At 42.3% G+C, this 20744-nt stretch overlaps 1 protein-coding gene across 30 annotated transcripts in view; it reads right to left on the bottom strand.

The window, feature by feature from the left end:
• PLCE1 (phospholipase C epsilon 1) overlaps nucleotides 1-20744 on the bottom strand; it is a 338893-nt gene that overhangs the window by 19970 nt on the left and 298179 nt on the right. For all 30 annotated transcript variants that reach the window (XM_047425285.1, XM_047425289.1, XM_047425297.1 and 27 more), the window contains 5 exons: nucleotides 19215-19346; nucleotides 14185-14475; nucleotides 8209-8372; nucleotides 6166-6427; nucleotides 4155-4273 (listed from right to left, as the gene is read on the bottom strand). In XM_047425285.1, the coding sequence (XP_047281241.1) occupies nucleotides 4155-4273; nucleotides 6166-6427; nucleotides 8209-8372; nucleotides 14185-14475; nucleotides 19215-19346 (968 nt within the window). The remainder of the gene's footprint in view (nucleotides 1-4154; nucleotides 4274-6165; nucleotides 6428-8208; nucleotides 8373-14184; nucleotides 14476-19214; nucleotides 19347-20744) is intronic.

Genomic DNA, 20744 nt, shown 5'->3' with positions numbered 1-20744 from the left:
ATCATTAGAATGCAAACATATATCTGTTAGAAAGAGGTCGGTAAGTGTGTAACTCAATTCTTCGGGCATTTTGTGTATTAAGATATATTCATTTGAAATAAATAATTTATGGAAGGCTTATAGTGAATCAGTCATTATGCCTGTCCCTAGAAAATCAGGGGCAAATGGGACACTATCCCTGCCAAGGGCTTCCAGTTGAATGAGATAGCTAGAGGGGAAAGTAGGCAGTTGTAAAGAGCATTTTAAGTTCCAGAGGAGGTGGCCTAGAAGAGGTAAGGGAGAAACCAGGGAGGGCTTTCTGAAAAATGGTATCTGAACCAAATCTTGAAGGACCTAGTGTAATTTAGCAGATGAAGAATGAGACAAGAGAACCCCAAATTGACGTAACATGTGTATGAAGACTTAGAAATGGCCTACAGCAGGGCATTCTGGGAACCTCAGCAAGTTCTACAACTAACCTGTTGGAGGGAGAAAGGCTGGAGATGCAGGCAAAAGCACAGCCATTCAGGGCTTTGCCTAACTGGCTAAAATTTAGACTGAAACTGGCAAAATGAGGACCTGAGGGCTGAAGTGTATTGTTTAGCATGTACTTAATTTTTATTTGGGGTGGGGAGGAGAGGTTGTCTTTGTTATGCTTGCACAATGTGATTTTTTTAAAATCAGTTTTACTGAAGTATAATTGTCATACTATAAAATGCACACATTCTAATTGTATCATTTAGCTTGCACTATATTATTAATTAAAAAGATTAAATAGTTGCCAACATTTACAAAACCCCAGATGTCCTGATTCTCTTGAAAAACCAAGAGATCTGACGACATCACAAGGCAACAAGCAGCTAGAGCTGAGAGCTAGGTGACAGCTGCCCCTCTAAATGACCCATGAGCTCCCCTCTAAATGACCCATGAGCTCTCTGCTTTCTAAGAGTCTGTGCTCAGCCCAGGTCCATGCCTGCACATCATCTTCTTGGGATCCTCCTGGCATGTGAATTTGTTACTTCTGGTATAAACTATACCCTGAAAGCAATGGAGAACTGATGGAGGGTTTTCCACAGAGGAGTGACATGATCATATTTAGATAGATCTGTTTGGGATGCCCTAGATGAGGACAGACAGAGGTGGCAAACCCAGAGGAAATGAGACCAATTAGGAAGACTCTACCACAAGCCAGGTGAGAATGAACCAGGGCCAAGGCAATAAAGACAGATCAAGATGAATGGATTTGAAAGATACTAAGGAAATAGAATGATCAAGTCTTAAATGGGGCAGAAGGCCAGGATGATCTACAGTTATTGGCTTCAGCAATGGAGAGTGATGCTCTCCATGGTCAAATGCACATTTACCAAGCACATATCCATATATGGCTGCCCAGGAAGCCCAAGGATGGCAAGGTGTGATATAACAAAAAATACATATTTGGTCTTTGTCCCCAGTTTCTGCCACACAGCTCCTAAAACCTTTGAAATCTCTGGAGTGATAAGAGTGTCCTTTGTTGCTAATGAGATGATTGGTGGCTGAGAAAGACCAAGGCATGATTAGAAGGGTGAAACCTTCAGCCCTGCTGCCAGACCTCAAGGAGGGGAGGGGGCTGAAGACTGAACTGATCACCAGTGGCCAATAATTGAACCAATCATGCCCAGGTCATGAAACCTCCATAAAAACCCTAAATGATGGGGTTCCGAGAGCTTCCAGGTTGGTGAACACATCGAGGTTCTGGGAGGGTGGCCTGGAGAGGACATGGAAGCTCTGCACTCCTCCTCCCATACCTTGTTCCATGCATCCTTCCATGAGGCTGCTCCTGAAGTACATCTGTTCTGATCAACTGGTGATAATAAGCAAAGCACTCTTGTGAGTTCTGTGTCATTCTAGCAAACTCTTGAATCTGAGGATTTATATGGATCCCCTGAATTTATAGCTGTTTGGTCAGAAGTCCTGGTGACAACCTGGGACTTCTGACTGGCATCTGAAGTAGGAGTAGTCTTGTGGGACTGAGCCCTCAATGTGTGGGATCTGACACCAACTCTAGATGGATAGTGTTAGAATTGAACTGAAATGTAGGACACCCAGCTGTTGCCAGAGAGTTGGAAAAGACACCATGTTTTTGGTGTCAGAAGTGTCGTGAGTAAAAACAGTTCATTTGTGGCATCTGTGGAATCTTCAGCTGTAACAGATATCGAGGTCACCCAGCTCAGAATTGGGTATTTGGCCCTGCTCTGCCTTTCTGAAAGCATGTGATTCCTGCTCTTTGTACCACGCGGCCCTGCCCTTGCTTGTCAATCCTCTGCACAAGGTGGAAGCCACACCTCCCTCCACTTTGGCCAAAGTGCTCTTCTAAACCTTGGACACATGGTGCAATCGCCTGATGATCCTTAAAAAAACTGATGCCTGGGGCCCACCTGCAGAGACTCTGGTTTAATTGGTGCGGGGTGTGGCCTGTGCACATGGAGTTTTTAAAGCTCCCCAGGTGATACAAATGTACAGTGAAGGTTGCTGTGGAGTGATGAAGGGAAAAAGGAGGAACACCTAAGCAAACAAGGGCAGGGACAGCGGGAGTCAAAACTGATAGTGGTGAGGGCAGGAGAAGGGCAGAAAAGAAAGCAGAAAGTGGCAGTGGAAGCCATCATGGCCAGTGCCATTGTGAGCGCAGAAGGTGCCTTTCCAAAGATTGTTAGGACTACGTTGAGTCTGAGATTGACACAGAAGTAATCACATTATTAAACATGTAAAGGGGGTAACCAATGGATACACTTTTAAAATGTATGTTTAAAGAGGAAGCATAATGGAATTAGCCAGTTAATTAAAGTAGTTGTTTTAAAAATACCTTTTTTAGAGACAGGATCTCATTCTTTGTCCATGCTGGAGTGCAGTGGTGTGATCATAGCTCACTGTAGCCTCAAACTCCTGGACTCAAGCAGTCCTTCTGCCTCAGCCTCCCAGGTAGCTGGGACTATAGGTGCTCGACACTATGCTCAATTAAAACACGTTTTTTAATAGAGATGGGGTCTTGCCCAAGCTGATCTTGAACTCCTGGACTCAAGCTATCCTTCTGCCTTGGCCTCCCAAAGTGTTGGGATTAGAGGCATGAGCCGCTGCACTCAGCCCAGATTCTTACCTAATTAAACCATCCTGCATTAGTGAGGGGGCCATGGTCCAAGTGTCCTCAAACTTTAGTGGGCACTGAGTTTCCATGAGGCACTTGTTAAAAAGCAGATTCTGGCCAGGTGCGGTAGCTCATGCCTGTAATCCCAGCACCTTGGGAGGCCACCTTGGGAGGCCAAGGCATGAGGATCGCTTGAGTCCAGGAGTTTAAAACCAACCTGGGCAATATAGTGAGACCCCATCTCTATAGAAAAACATTATCTGGGCATAGTGGCACACACCTGTAGTCCCATCTACTCAGGAGGCTGAGGTGGGAGAATTGCTTGAGCCAGGAAGGTCGAGGCTGCAGTGAGCCAGGATGGCACCACTGCACTCCAACCTGGGTGACAGAGTGACACTGGGTGACAGAGACACACTGTCTCTGGAAAAAAAAAAAAGCAGATTCTGCAACTATGGCACTTTCTACAGTGTCCTTCTTCCATTCTCAAGGGAGCAGCTTCTGCATCTGCCAAGCACTGAGGTGCAAGTTATGCATCGCCAGCAGAGCCTATTGCTCACTCCAGCCTTGCTCTGCCTGTGACATTTGCCCCTGGACTGCTGAAGAAACAAAATATTTTCCTGGTTTAACCTAAAGTTTCTAGAAGTATTGGAAATGCTTCCTACTAGGCTTCGCATAATAAGCCTCTTCCTCACTTTGTTATATTTGGCTTACTTCCCTGATAGACACTGTAATATATGGGCTTTGTTACTGGAACTTGGGTGTAAATCCTGGACTGCTGCTTGCTAGCTGTGTGACCTCAGATGTACTTAGCTCTACCTTTCTCATCTGCAAAATGGAGATGATACTAAATAGCTACTGCCTGACGTTATTGAGAGGACTGAGTTAGTATATACGTAAAGTGCTTAGTCAGTGCCAAGTGTCAGCCATTATTGTTATTAATTTCCATAGCTACCTAATTAATAACTCACACCGACCACTTTGCTGGGCCACAAAAAAGCCCACCTTCAGTGTAGCAATCCCCATAAATATGTTGAGTGAAACAGAACTTCATTACCGAAGAGGCTGACATGGTATTGCCAGAGGAATTTTCTTCCATCCTTCTGCTGTTAATGAATAAACTAGAAATCTCCAAGACTTCATTGTGAAGGTTTCGCAGCTGAAGATGTCGATATCCTGGAGTAATACAGAATTGGGAAAAGCTTGTTAACCATGGCTACTGAAAAGAAGATGCTCCTGGAAGTCGGCAAATGACAGGTAGAAAGACCTTAAAATGGGCAGGGATGGCAACAGGCATGCAACCAACAGGCGTCTTTTCGCCAAGAGAGTGCTGCCCCCTGAGTTACCCAATGGCAATTAATTTGTCCAAGTACTGTTTCCAACTTAGACTCAAACAGAAAACCTTAAACTCAGACAAAACCTGATCTAGTAGGAAAACCTGATCACTAACAGTCCCTGTGAATGAAGCACTAACAGACTAACAGTCCCTGTTTTACAAATGTTCCATCTTAGAGCAGCTTTAGTGATAATAGAACATTCCCACAATGGAAGATTGGTTATAATTTATGGTATGACTGTAAGTGTAAGTATAGAATGGAATAATACACAGCTGGTAAAAATGGTAATGTACATGTATAGTTATTAACATGAAAGGTTGCTCACTGTATACATTAGTAAGTGAAAACCAGTAAGTTACAAAACACAAAGATTAGTAGAAAGCCTGTTTGTTAAAAATATATCTGTATGCTCATGTGTTACGTACATGGGGAGAGAAACAAAGCCTGCAAGACTTATACACCAAGAGTGACTGTGTTGGAGAGATGGAAAAATGGATAATTAAAAAAAAATTGTTTTTGTTTCTATGTACTTTCTCACATTTCTATAATAACAGTTATGGGTCTCCCCCGACCCTATACTCCCCATTCTTGTGTAGAAGTCCTAACCCTCAGTACCTCAGAATGTGACTATATTTGAAGAGAGGGTCTTTAAAGAGGTAACTAAGTTAAAATGGGGTCCTTAGGGTGGGCCTTAATCCAGTGGGACTGGTGTCCTTATGAGAAGAGGGGATTAGGACACAGACAACATAGAGGGCTGACTGTGTGGGGACCATCTGCAAGCCAAGGAGAGAGGCCCTAGAAGAAACCAAACCTGCCAACACCCTGATCTCAGACTTCCAGCCTTCAGAACTGCGAGGAAATACATTTCTGTGGTTCAGCCACCTAGTCTGTGGTATTCCATGATGGCAGCCTGAGCAGACTAATTAAATGACCACGGGCTACTTGCACACAGAAGAGAAACAGGAAAAGATCACAAAAGTAGGAAACTGTAATGTGTTTGTGAGCTCCAAGGATGGCAGCTTGAGTGTAGCTGGGAGAGGAAGTGTGTACTTAGAATATTGGTGCTCAAAGGAGACCATCAGAGCCAGCACACCTGGAAATATGTTAGAAAGGGAAACTGTCAGTCTTCACCTGAGGCCACTGAATCACGATCTGCATGGTATTACCAGTCCTAGCAGATTCCTGTGCACATCAAAGTTTAAAAACAATGCACAGGCTGAAATTCATCAGAGTGCCACAACAAAGCCAATCTACAAGCAAATAGCTCTAGCCTTTGCCCAGAATTCTCCATTCCCCTCTTCCTGCACCTGAAACCCAGCCCCAGCTTCCAAAACTGGACTTCTGCCAGGCACCGACTCCAACTGCACGGTCACTTATGCCACCACCACACCCGACCCCTCTGACATGTTTCCTCTCCTTATTTCAATCCCTGCTTTCAAACTGCCAGCAGTGCCGTGGGTAGCAACAACCACTGCTCCTGACATCAGCAAGCATGGGTGAGGCTGTACTTTACAAGGGATATTGTTAATACCTCAGATTCTTAAAAAATGTAAAAGAAAAACTTCTTTTGAGATGTGCTTCAAAAGTGCTCCAATTTGTATTTCCTTTTGCTTCTTAATTCAACTTCTTTATAGGAAAATGTCAAACAGAAAAGAGAGAAGAGTATAAGGAAATTCTGGCATCCATCACCTAGCTACAACAATTATTAACATTTGGACAATTTTATTCTACCTCGTTTTAAAGCTTTCAGTGGAATGATTCTCTGAGCAGTTACCGCTGAACTATTGTTTTCCACAACTGCAAAACGAAGAAATACAAGATCTTCGAAGTGAACGTGGAACAGAAACTGCTCGTTCCACATGGGGTTCAGGGTGTTTCGATGGATGGGCTTTGTGCGGAAATGGCAGCTGTCCAGAGGCATGCCCAGGACGTCGACTTCAATGCACGGGCTTCCCATGCTATTACTGGGGCACACATTCTGACCAGAGACAATCTAGGGTGAGGGAGACAAAAGGGATCAAAGTCACCGAGGATAAAAAAGAAAGACAACCTCTGCACCTCACTGCTTCCCTCTGCAAAGGAATCCCAAGAACACTGGAATGGACAAAGTGAATGATGAATAAAACTGTTTAAAAAGTAAGTGATTGTAGGGCTGGGCGCGGTGGCTTATGCCTGTAATCCCAGCACTTTGGGAGGCTGAGGTGAGCAGATCACGAGGTCAGGAGATTGAGACCATCCTGGCCAACATGGTGAAACCCTGTCTCTACTAAAATACAAAAAATTAGCTGGGCATGGTGGTGTGCGCCTGTAGTCCCAGCTATTAGGGAGGCTGAGGCAGGGGAATTGCTTGAACCCAGGAAGCAGAGGTTGCAGTGAGCTGAGATCACGCCACTGTACTCCAGCCTGGTGACAGAGCAAGACTCCATCTCAAAAAAAAAAAAAGTAAGTGATTGTAACTGGGTAATCACACGACTGGAATCATATGAAAAGCCTATTTTGTCAACATCATTCACTTAACTGTAAGCTTTCAACTATCAAAATGTTCAAATATCTTCAAAAACCAAACAAGATGAAGTTAAATTTCTCACAAGAGAAGACTTTATGCAATATAATCATAAATTTGTTACTAATATTCTGTTCAAAATGCCACAGGATTTTATAACTTCAAAATCTTTTTCTTGAATAGTTTCATTTTGGAGCAAGTCACAGACGTGTTAGGAACTAATTCACAGCTTTCTGTAAACAGATAAAACTACCCTCGCCTCTATCTAAAAAATAACAAATAGGAAAGGGGCTACTGCCCTGCTGTCTTAGGGAAAGAGAAAAAGCAGTTTGGGTGGTAGGAAAGTCTGTGAATGGGGTTATCCCAGGGGTTTGGGGGTGTCGTACTTGGAGGGCTGCCTGGCATTCTTCCTGTGGAGAGAGAGAGACAAGATCTAAAGGTGGAAAGAGATGACCAGGTCTCTGTTGTTGTTTTGTTTTGTTGAAACGGAGTCTCACTCTGTCACACAGGCTGGAGTGCAGTGGTGCAATCTTGGCTCACTGCAACCTCCGCTTTCTGGACTCAAGTAATTCTCCAGCCTCAGACTCCCAAGTAGCTGGGAGTACAGGTGTGAACCACCATGCCCAGCTAATTTTTTTTGTTATTTTTTTGTAGAAACAGGGTTTTGCCATGTTGCCCAGGCTGGTCTCGAACTCTTGAGCGCAAAGCGATCTACCCACCTGGGCCTCCCAAATTGCTAGGATTACAGGCGTGAGCCACCGCACCTGGCCAGGTCTGTTTTTAAGAGGAGTCTGTGGAGTTTTGACAATAAGTTAATTAGGTGAAAAGGAATAAGGAAAGGCCCAGGAATGATAAAGGTTAAATTATACGGAGGAAATATACTTAATTGTATTTATATATTGACATGAGTTTGATCTTAGAGCTTTGAAGCCTAACATGAGCTGATCTAACAAAAAGCTCAACTTCCATGGGCTATACTCATAGTTATGATTCTGTGGGCCCTGGAAGACAGAGTTACCATCATCAGAACATCAGGTGAAACAGGGACCTCATATGCCCTGCTCCTGGGCTCTGGCAAACACAGTGTCTGGCAACAGCTTGTCTAGCCATAGCTACTGCTTCCTGGAAAATAAATACATTATTCTGGGAACTAAATCTGTATGACCCAAATTGTGACATGACAGCTTTCCAATGCCTTGAATTCAAAACCAGTTCGTTTTCAGGAAGGCTTAAACCCGACCTTATGTTCTTTCTCTAGGGGCCGTACTTACAGTTAAAGAATAGACTGCAGGATCCATGCTGTCCAGATCTCTTTCTAGTGGAGAAAACTTCTGATACATGGGGCAGTTCTTGTCCCACAGAACTGGAGGTTTCAATACATAACCACAACCACCATTTGCCTCAAACATTGCAGCATTTAAATGTAAAGGGAGATCTGTAAAACAAACAACAAAGAAAGCCAATATAGCTTGTTACTTTGTCGCTTAAGTATCACCTTATAAATTGAAAGTTCAAAAGAACTTTGCATCAATTTTCCCTAAGCTCCAGCATGAAAAAGAGATAATCACCCATTCGTCCCACAGATTGATAAATGACTACTATATGCCAAGTTGTGTGAGGCATCAGATACAGCAGGTAATAAGAGAAAAATTCCTGTCCCTCTGGGGCTTACAGTCTATGGATATGCCCAGTGTTACCACTCCAAACTAGGTGAAATCACTTAAAAACTCCTTTGCAAATATTTGCTACATCTGTCTGAAAAATCTTGTGAAATACAGTTGACCATGGGGGATTGGTTCCAGGACGAGAAGGTACCAAAGTCCACAGATGCTCAGGTCTGTGATATAGATGGTGTAGAATTTGCATTATAACCTATACCATCCTTCTGCATACTTTTTCTTTTTTTTTCCCCTGGGAGCCTAGATTCAAGTTGCCCTGAATATATTCTCCCCCTTCTGTATACTTAAAATCATCTCTAGATTACTTATGATACCTAATCCAATGTAAATGCTATGTAAATGGTTGCCATACTGTATTGTTTAGGGAAAAATAACAAGGAGACAAGGCTGTTATATGTTCAGTGCAGATGCGACCATCCATTTTTTTTAATGAATATTTTCAATCCATAGCTGGTTGAATCCACAGATGTGGAACCCAAGGATATGGAGGGGCAACTCTACTTATTTTATACTAAATTTTAGAAAGGAATAATGGCTTATCTCTAAGCCATGCAGACAATTGTATGGACAATTCTTGCTATTTCAAATGTAAGATAAAATCTTAATTATACAAGAAAGAATAGGAGAATAGCCAGAAAAACATGCTTTTCCTTGAAATCTCAATTTCATCCCATAAATTACAATACACCTATTTCTTTTTAAAAAATCGTAAACAAGAAAAAAAATAATCACATCTGATTCACATCATGTCCACAATCCCCTCAATCATAAACATCAGGAACCTTCACAGAGGCTTTTTTGTTGCCAAATTTTATTTGGCACAGTACTTTGATGAACAATTGGATTCTTGCACTGTTTCTGGGCTCTTACACACTCAAATGCTCACCTGATGGTGCAAGTCTGTATAAAAGTTACCCAAATGAGCAAAAAGTTGATGAGACACACCTGATGAATACTCCCTCTGATAGATTCCTTCCATGTGTAAGAACGAACTCTGTACATGGGCCACATCAAGGCAAAGTGCAGTAAACGCCCTGGGGCAATGAGAAGTTGGCCTCTACTTGTCCTGTCTGTAAAATGTTTCCCTGTCTGTGGGGTTGGCCAGTATTTTGTGCAGGAATTCCTAGTGTAAGATGTCTTAGACATATGAAAGCTCCTTATCTGTAAAATGATTGCAGAGGACCTCATCTCTCAGGCCCCTGCCAGTCCTGATGTGACTGGTTCATTGTGGCCATGCTGCCTCACCTGCATTGGGAGAAAATTCTCTTCTCAGGCCACTTCATGACAGAGGAACACAGACATGGTGAGGGTAGCAAAGAGGGTGAAGCCAGCTAGCTCATATGGGGTTGGTAAAGGTGAAATGGACATACAGTACTAACAACAGCAATGGCAGCTCGCACTCTGCACTCTTACTAAGGACCAGACACCATTCTAAGCACTTTATGTGCATCAAGTACCTCCCAATAATCTATGAAGCAGATCCTTTTAGTATCTCCATTTTTATGGATGAGGAAACTGAAGCAGAAAAAGTGAAAACACCCAAGAAACATAACGAGTAAGTGGTGGATGCTATAAATCGAGCCCAGATGGCCTCACCCATTGTTCCCAATCTTAACTACTGAGCCATATAATGTACATCTTATAGGGGTGTGGATACAGTAAATGAGATTTGGCACATGCAAGGTGCTCAATAAATGGTAACTATTTTTTTTTTGTGATCATGACATCAACCTCAAGTGATTTCAGTAGCACCGTGTCTACCCTAATAGTTTTCCAAAACTTTAAAGCTGTAAAGCCAAAACTCTAAAGCTATTATTAAAACTTTGAAGCTTTTAAAAAATTATTTTATTTTACTGTTTTAAGTTCCGGGGTACATATGCAGGATGTGCAGGTTTGTTACATAGGTAAACATGTGCCATGGTGGTTTGCTGCACCTATCAACCCAACCCCTAGGTATTAAACCCAGCGTGCATCAGCTCTTTCCCCTAATGCTCAGTTTCTTAACTGAAATCTAACTTGGTGACCAAACATGTAAAAGAGATCCACGTAGAGCCGCACGGTTTGAAATAAAGGTCGGACCTCAAATCTAGCCCTCTTGCTGTCCCCTGGACATGGTCCCAGAACTTCATCTGGGGCTATAGTTTAAAAATCATCATTCCAATCAAGTGAAAAAGTGTGCACAAATCAGTGTAACCCTGCTACACCTCTGAAACAATGCACATAATGATAGATAAACATACCATTGCCTTGATGGTCTTCTACCCATTAAAATACTCTGCATTATGTAGACACCATTCACATAATGTTTATCCTTATATTTGAGGATTGGAAGTCTGTCATTCAAAAAAGCTTAATAAATTCTTTAAAAAAAGAAGTTTTTCTTTTGACTAGGGTTGCATGTTTACACATTGTAAGTCTGGGTGTGAGGCGGTATTGTTCTGCCTCAGATGCAAAGAACTTAGAGGGTCTGTTGCCAGCAATAACCAGGGGTTTGCATACCAGCCTCACGTCAGTTTCTAAACTCAAGAGTTGGTTTTATTGAGTGTTGATCTGGGAAACTCCTGGTTCCAGATCACTTCAGACCTTCTTGGAGTTGATGGAACCAGCAGAAAGCTTGGGAAGGGATGGCCATAAGTCCATGGACACCCACTTGGAGCGTTAGAATCCCCTGAAATCCAGGAAGTCACAGAGCAGATGATCCATGAAACCTCTTGGGAGGCTGGCCCTGGGAGGGTTTCTCTGCTATTTAGTTGGGATGCTTCATGGAAAATCAAGCACTTTCCAGCCTGGAAATTCTTTTCAACAATTGAAAAATGGTGCTTCCACTGTTGACTCTTATCGATCTATTCGATCTATCTATCTATATATATAATTTTCTTTTTCTTTTTTTTTTTGAGATAGTATCTCACTTTGTCGCCCAGGCTGAAGTGCAGTGGCGCGATCTCGGCTCACTGCAACCTTTGCCTCCTGGGTTCAAGAGATTCTTTTGCCTTAGCCTCCTGAGTAGCTGGGACTACAGGCATGCACTACCACGCCCGGCTAGTTTTTGTATTTCAGTACAGATGGGGTTTTACCATGTTGGCCAGGCTGGTCTTGAACTCCTGACCTCAGGTGATCCATCTACCTTGGCCTCCCAAAGTGCTGGGAATACAGGCATAAGCCATCGTGCCCGGCCCCTAGCTATGTATTTTTTGAGACAGTGTCTCGCTCTGTCACCCAGGCTGAAATGCAGTGGCACAATCTTGATACACTGCAACCTCTGCTTCCCGCTCAGCCTTCCGAGTAGCTGGGACTACAGGCATACACCGCCAAGCCCCACTATTTTGTTTTAATATTTTTAGTAGAGATGGGGTTTCACCATGCTGGACAGGCTGGTCTCGAACTGCTGGCCGGAAGTGATCCACCCACCTCGGCCTCCCAAAGTGCTGGGATTACAGGTATGAGCCACTGCACCTGGCCTTATCTATCTGTTTGAATTTGCAATTCAGAGAAGTAAACACTTGGAAAAGATCTTGACCAAAAATCAAGAACCACATGTTCATATTGCAGTGGGGCTGACAGAGATAATCTGCCTCAACTCAGAGTAACAAGCATTTACTGAGCATCTACTGTGTGCAAAGTATTAATATTAAATCAGGCTGTACCCCCAGTTTGCAGAAATGAAGACCATTTTTACAGATGAACACACTGATACTGCATGTTGCTTGTATTTTGTCCAACATGGGGAGATGTTTAATCAGCACATTGAATGGAGAGAGGTTATATGATAGCACCTTTTCCCGGTTTGGAAGATTATGCAGAGAAACTTGAGGATGAACCACACAGCACAGCCATTTGAGTGGGACGGCTTAAAGACGTACTCTCAATCCCAACTTGATTTGGAAGAGAGGCAAAGCCTTTAAGGGTCAGTGGAGGACAGGCAGCTTTAGTTTGTACTTCTGGACTGCAGGATGGCCCATGGAGTGGCAGCTCCCTGTGTCCCCTTCACCTGTTGCTCCCTTTTGCTATTCAGTGGAGCCAGTGTGTCTATACCAGTCCTGGCACTTCCAGAGAAAGGGCACATCCAAAACCAAATGCACTTCCATTTCCTTGAGAAAATCTTTTGATAGTGACTTCAGTTTACTTAAAATATGCCGGGATAATAACCAATGGCACCAGGTGGACACAGGACTACAGACAGGGCTGGAGATGTGAACCCACCAGCCACTCAGGAAAGAATGAACAGAAATAGAAAATAAAGTTTTTACAACTTTGAAAGTATTTCACAATTATTTCCATTTGTGAGCCCAAATCATACTGTTTTCATAACTTATCAAACACAATCAATGATAGTTAACCTTTGTAGAATGCTTTCTATGTGCCAGGCACTATGCTAAATATGGTACTTCACCGGCATCATCTTATTTAATTTTAACTGAAAGAAGCACATATAACAAGGGCAGAAATGTGACCAATATCTCTAATCATATGTCTTTGGGGCATCCACCAATGGGTGTTGTTGGCACCAGTGCCAGGTAGCTAGCTGGTCCCAGAGCTAAAGCTGTGGTTTGACCTCAGCTGGAGACAAGGCCATACTGTGGTTTGTGGTTCAGCATGGTTAGATGAGATTGGATTCAGTTCACGCGAGATGAATGATAACAGCTGCCTGCCGCTTGACTGTTCAAAGGAAAAACTGTGGTTTATGAAAGAGCTTTTAGGAAACATTTATCTACTCTTACCTTCTGTAGCTCCTCTCCTCCCCCATAACCAAGTGGAAACATAATGCTTTATCCTTTAAACTTCCAGACTCCTTGAATTTATTACTACAAGTCATCCTGCAACCTTGAACAAATTAACCAATTTGTGCCTTGATTTGCTCATCTGAGAAATGGCGATCATAAAGGTACACAACTTTAGGGCTGTTGTGAATATTAAATAAGATAATAGGGGGTCAAAAATTCAGCGTACTGCCTAATGCACAGTAAGCGTGCAATAAACGGCAGCTTCTACTCTGGAGTTTTAGGCGTCATATCAGAGTCTCATTGACATTGGAGAAACATGATCACTACTTACTCTGTTCATGTACTTCACATAGTTGTTTTCCTTTTGCTAGCTACTCTTCGGGCACTGACCATTATTCTCCATCTCAATTCCAAAAGGATAAGACGCTAACATGGTTTTAACTTGCAAAGTGGTTGGAGTGACACTACCTTTTGACTGCAAGAACAACTGCGTAGTGAGACAGGTTAACTGGGCAGTGTTAGGAAATCCCTGCTCCAAAAAGAGCTTTAAACATAAACCGGGCATGGCTTTGTCAAGAGCAGCTTGGTATTTGAAAAACTGCATTAAAAAAGGGGCAGGACCAGGAGACCTTACAGGCCCCTTCAAGATTCTTTTCTATCACCTTAATCTGAAACATCGGAGGCACAATTCAGTATCAAATTCACTTCTGTTTTCCATCATCATATTTTTACTCTCACATATGGTGTGCCCCAGTCTGGAATCTTGCCCCTTTGAAAAAATGCTGTCAAACTGCATTTACTGAAATGTAAGATGCAAAGGAGCGAGGTGAGCATGCAGGCCCCTTACCATCAGTCTGGTAGTTGAGTGCCACAAGCTGTATCCCATGGAGCCAGAACATGAGGGGGTTCGGGTTGGAAGAGTCGATGCGGGTGGCAGCAGGGTAAGTTCTCAGCAGCTGACAGGCGGTGTGCTGGGTCAGTTTCTGAGAATACCTGCGACACAGACGTTTGGCGGCATTTTCATTCAGCGACGAGATATGATAACATTTGGGAGTTCTAATGATAGCACTGAGGGACGTGGTTGGGTTGAGAGGGGAAGAAGATTCCTCCCAGGTCTGTCGAATGCCTTCACAGGAACCTAAACCCCCCAAGAAATTAGCCGCAGATTAGTGTAGAAAACTTTAAATATTTTAGAAAGATAAACCTGAACAACATCCCAGTAAACAGTCATAGCATATAAACCACATCAGAATACCTCTTGGATTTTACTTGTGAGTTAGTTCGCCACTTTAAAACAACATGGTGGCTACTTAGTTTTAAAATGAGTGTGGTGGCTGGGTGTGGTGGCTCATTCCTATAATCCCAGCACTTTGGGAGGTCAGGGTGGGAGGATTGCTTGAGCCCAGAAGTTCAAGACCAGCCTGGGCAACATGGTGAGAGCCCATCTCTACAAAAAGTAAAAAAATAAAATAAAACCAAACAAAAAACCCCACACAAGAAACAAAACAAAATGAATGTAGCAACATCAATTTAAATTAAAAGCCTAGAAGTCCTTTGCCTCAGTACTTCATTTGGGTTGTGGTATATTTGCACAAATAAACAATATATGTACAAGGATATTCACTCCAGCATTGTTTTTCATAGGAAACAACAAAATCAAACCAAACCAAGAAGCAACCCAAATGTATCAGTGAAGAAGTGATTCCATAAATGACAGTATATCCATGCAGTGGACCACCACACAAGCATTAAAGAGAATAAGGAAGCTATATGTACAGAAAATTATGTGAAAAGTTATAGCAAATATAAAGTTATACATGTATGTTTGGTTATACAGGCATACCTTGTTTTATTGTGCTTTGTTTTATTGCACTTTGCAGATACTGCACTTTTTTTTTTTTTTTTTTTTTTTTTTTTTTTTTTTTTACAAATTTAAAGTTTGGGGCAGGCCTGCCTCCAGCAAGTTTATTGGTACAATTTTTCCAACAGCATGTATTCACTTTGTGTCTCTGTGTCACATTTTAGTAATTCTTGCAACATTTCAAGCTTTTAAACATTATTATTATATCTGTTATGGTGATCTGTGACGAGTGATCTTCGATGTTTTATTGTAATTGTTTTGGGGTGCCATGGACCATACCCATAAGATGGTAAACTTAATTGACAAATGTGCGTGCTCTGACTGCTCTACCCACCAGCCCTTCACCCATCTCCCTCCCTCTCCTTGTGCCTCACGATTCCCTGAGACACAACGATACTGACATGAGGCCAATTAATAACCCTACATTGGCCTCTAAATGTTCAAGTGAAAGGGAGAGTCACACGTTTCTCACTTGAAATCAAAAGCTAGGCTGGTCACGGTGGCTCATGCCTGCAATCCCAGCACTTTGGGAGGCTGAGGCGGGTGGATCACCAGAGGTCAAGAGTTCGAGACCAGCCTGGCTAACATGGTGAAACCCTGTCTCTACTAAAAATACAAAAATTAGCCAGGCACACGCGCCTGTCATCGCAGCTACTCAGGAGGCTGAGGCAGGAGAATCGCTTGAACCCGGGAGGTGGAGGTTGCAGTGAGCTGAGATCGCGCCACTGCACTCCAGCCTGGGCAACAGGGTGAGACTCTGCCTCAAAAAAAAAAAGAAAGAAAGAAATAAAAAGCTAGAAATAATTAAGCTTAGTGAGGAAGGCATGTCAAAGGCCAAGACAGGTTGAAAGTTAGGCATTTTGCGATAAACATTTAGCTAAGTTATGAATGCAAAGGAAAAGTTCTTGAAGGAAATTAAAAGTGCTACTCCAGTGAACACACAAATGATAAGGAAGCCAAACAGCCTTATTACTGATATGGGGAAAGTGTTAGTGGTCTGGATAGAAGATTAAACCAGCCACAACATATTTTAAGCCAAAGCCTAATTGAGAGTAAGGCCCTGAACTCTCTTCTGTTTTATGAAGGTTGAGAGAAGTGAGGAAGCTGCAGAAGAAAAGTTGGAGGCTAGCAGAGGTTGGTTCATGAGGTTTAAGGAAAGAAGTCATCTCCATAACATAATATCAGCAAGTACTGATGGAGAAGCTACAGTAAGTTATTCGTAAGTTCTAGCTAAGATCATTGATGAAGGTGGCTACATTAAACAACAGAATTTTTTTTTTTTTTTTTTTTGAGATGGAGTCTTGCTCTGTCGCCCAAGTTGGAGTGCAGTGGTGCGATCTTGGCTCACTGCAAGCTCCGCCTCCCGGGTTCACGCCATTCTCCTGCCTCAGCCTCCTGAGTAGCTGGGACTACAGGCACCCGCCACCATGCCCAACTAATTTTTTTTTTGTATTTTTAGTAGAGATGGGGTTTCACCGTGTTAGCCAGGATGGTCTCGATCTCCTGACCTTGTGATCCACCTGCCTCAGCCTCCCAAAGTGCTGGGATTACAGGCATGAGCCACCACACCCGGCCAAACAACAACTTTTTATTGTAAATGAAACAGCCTTCTATTGGAAGAAGATGCCACCTAGGACTTTCATAGCTAGAGAAGATAAGTCAATGCCTGGCTTCAAAGAAAAGGCTGTCTCTCTTGTTAGGGGCTAATGCAGCTGGCGACTTGAAGTTGAAGCCAATGCTCATGGACCATTCTGAAAATCCTTAGGGCCCTTAAGAATCATGCTAAATCTACTCTGCCTGTATTCTATAGATGGAACAACAAAACCTAGATGACAGCACATCTGTTTACAGCATGATTTTTCATGTCTGCTAACACAGTATCCAGTCTGCAGCCCATGAACAAGGAGTAATTTGAACTTTTAAGTCTTATTTAAGAAATAAATTTCATAAGGCTAAAGCTTCCATAGGTTGTGATTCCTCTGATGGATCTGGTGAAAATAAAATGAAAACCTCCTAGAAAGAATTCACCATTCTAGACGCCCTTAAGAGCATTCATGATTCATGGGAGGAGGTCAAAAGAGCAACATTAACAGAAGTTTGGGAGAAGTTAATTCCAAACTTCATGGATGACTTGGAGGGGTTTAAAACCTCAGTGGAGGGAGTAACTGCAGATATGGTGGAAACAGCAAGAGAACTAGAAGTATAGCCTGCAGATGTGACTGAATTCCTGCAATTTCGTGATAAAACTTGAATGGATGAGGAGTTGCTTCTTAATGGATGAGCAAAGAAAGTGGTTTCTTGAGATGGAATCTACTCTTGGCGAAGATCCTGTGAACATTGTTGAAATGACAACAAAGGATTTAGAATATTTCATACATTTAGTTGATAAAGCAGCAGTGGGGTTTGAGAGGTCTGACCCCAATTTTGAAAGTTCTACCATGGCCGGGCGCGGTGGCTCACACCTGTAATCCCAGCACTTTGGAAGGCTGAGGTAGGCAGATCATGAGGTGAGGAGATCGAGACCACCCTGGCTAACATGGTAAAACCCCATCTCTACTAAAAATACAAAAAAAGTAGCCGGGCGTGGTGGTGGGCTCCTGTAGTCCCAGCTACTCAGGAGGCTGAGGCAGGAGAATGGCGTGAACCCGGGAGGTGGAGCTTGCAGTGAGACAAGATCTTGCCACCGCACTCCAGCCTGGGTGACAGAGCAAGACTCCGTCTCAAAAAAAAAAAAAAAAAAAAAAAAGTTCTATCATGAGTAAAATGCTATCAAACAGCATTGCATGATACAGAGAAATCTTTTGTACAAGGAAGAGTTGGTTGATGTGGCAGACTTCACTGTTGCCTTCTTGTAAGAAACTGCCAGACACCCTAGCCTTCAGCAACCACCCCCCTGATGAATCAGCAGCCATCAACGTTGAGGCAACACCCTCCACCAGCAAAAATATTACAACTTGCTACAGGCTCAGATGATTGTTAGCATTTTGTATCAATAAAGTATTTTCTATTGAAGGTATGTACATTTTTTTGACATAATGCTATTGCACACTTAATAGACTATGGTATAGTGTAGACATAACTTTTATATGTACTGGGAAACGAAAAAATTAATGTGACTCATTTTATCGTGATATTCACTTTATTGTAGTGGTCTGGAACCGAACCTGCAATATCTCCGAAGTATGCCTGTATCCCATTTGGATTATCTTAAAAAGGATCTTATTTTTCTTGAACAAAACACAATAAATTTAATAGTGGTTACTTCTGGAGAATAGCACCAGGACATTGAGTGGAAAGGAATTTTAATAATACTCTGTATTGTTTGAGTTTTTAACTACAAGAATTTATTACTTTCATAATAAAAAGTAACTAGAAATAAAATAGCCATATCTTCTGGAGTTATAATGGTGAAGAGAACAGCTCCAAGAAACCACTAGAATGTTCCAAGAATGTTCCAAGGTGCCTCTAATTTTTACTCGTGAGGCAAACACTGTTCAAACATCTTCAGTGAAATGTTATTTTTATTTTTTAATTTTTTAATATTTTTTTGAGACAGAATCTTGCTCTGTCACCCAGGCTGGGGTACAGTGGTGCGATCTCAGCTCACCACAACCTCTGCCTTCCGGGCTTAAGCGATTCTCTTGCCTCAGCCTCCCTAGTAGCTGGGATTACAGGTGTGCACTACCACACCCGGCTACTTTTTGTATTTTTAATAGAGATGGCGTTTCATCATGTTAGCCAGACTGGTCTCGAACTCCTGACCTCAAGTGATCCACCTGCCTTGGCCTCCAAAAGTGCTGGGATTACAGGCATGAGCCACTGTGCCCAGCCTGAAATGCTGTTTTTAGTACGTTAAAAGTGTAAGTTAGCAATTACAAAAATTTATACTATACTCAGACAATATTAATGTTCAGGAAAAAGAATTAAAAAATTCAAGGGAAGTGCTTAGACAGTAAAATATCTAAATCATCCAGCATGCAGAATCAAGCAAAGATATTGTAAGAAAGTGACTTTACTTTTTCCAGATGTTTTGTTAAATGATGCTGTCTCCCCTGGGCTCATTCTGCCCGGATTGTTGCCAAAAATGGACTTCCTGCTTTTCCTTTCTTTTCCTCTGCTAGAGCCAGATGCATTTAGAGTTGACAGTCCTGTTCCCATAAAATGAAAATAAATAAGCCAAAAACTACAAGCAAGGCAACTCAACATTTTCCATCCCCATTAATATTTATTTTGAAGTCCTACTACTCCCTTGGAACCTAGTACAGAAACCCTACTGGCAGTTTTTGTTCTGTTAATAATAGCATTGTAGGCAATTAAAGCAAAGTTTTAAAAATCTCTATAGGCAAATGCAACAAGAACTGCATGCTTATCACAGAATGACCACAAAATCACACACACACTTAGCTGATTGTGCATCAGAAAGATTTTGAAAAACTGCATGAAAAGAAGGTGCTGTGGCCAGAAATGATCAGTGGCTAATTATTTAATTTGGAGAGATGAAGGAATGGCTATTACTTGGGTTTTAGTGTCATAGTGTCTAGGTTCAATTCCTGCTGATATTAGCCTTGACATAACACCTCCTTCTTTGGTCCTCAGTTTCCTTATCTACAAAATGTGTGTAATGATAGGAACTCACTCATATGGTTACTCTGAAGATGGGAAATATGGTGATAATGATGTTTATGGCTTCTCTTTCTCACTCCTGGTCTAACAACTCCCTGGATGCTTCATGCCTGGCACAGTGCCTGGTGCAGAGCAGGAACTGAATACATATTTGCTGAAAGAGGAAATGAATGCAAACCACATAGACCTGGCTCCAATGTAAAAAGAGTGAGCTGAAGGCACCAGTGAGGCCAGAATTGCCTCCAAATTGTTCCCACTGTCATAACTGTACCTTTGGAGAGTAATTCCCTAAGCTGAAGCAGCATTCAGGAGGTCGTATTTCAGATGATAATACACATTCCAAGAACATCATCAGAGGAGACAGGATAGAGTAGTGTTTAAGAGCATAGACTTTGGAGTGAGACAGCTGGATTTAAAATCTGTTCCTAGCAGGGCAATCTCACACAAGTTACTTAACCTCTCTAGAACACTCCCTCCTCATCTGTAAGTGGGCTGTGGTTAGGAATAAACAAGATAATATACATATACAGGCTGAATATCCCTTATCTGAAATGCTTGGGACATGAAAGTGTTTCAGATTTCAGATTTCTTCGGATTTTGGAATATTTGTATCATACTCACCTGGTTGAGGATCCCCAGTCTGAGAATCCAAAATCCGAAATGCTCCCATGAGCATTTCCTTTGAGTATCATGTCAGCGTTCAAACAGTTTTGGATTTTGGAGCATTTTGGATTAGGGATGCTCAACTTGTCCATACTTAGTAGTGTGTCTTGTTCAGGGAAGTGCTCAGTCCATAGTAGCTGTTATTATTATAGCTTAATGTGGGGCTTCTAAGGTTTTCTTTTACCTCCAAAGTATTCATAATAGCAAACATGCACAAACTTAGACTATTGAGTTCTCATACCTTGATCTTAATATTTGTG

The sequence above is a fragment of the Homo sapiens genome, chromosome 10 (genome assembly GCF_000001405.40).
Source record: "Homo sapiens chromosome 10, GRCh38.p14 Primary Assembly".
Taxonomy (NCBI): Eukaryota; Metazoa; Chordata; class Mammalia; order Primates; family Hominidae; genus Homo; species Homo sapiens.
This window is presented reverse-complemented; position numbering and strand designations above follow the sequence as displayed.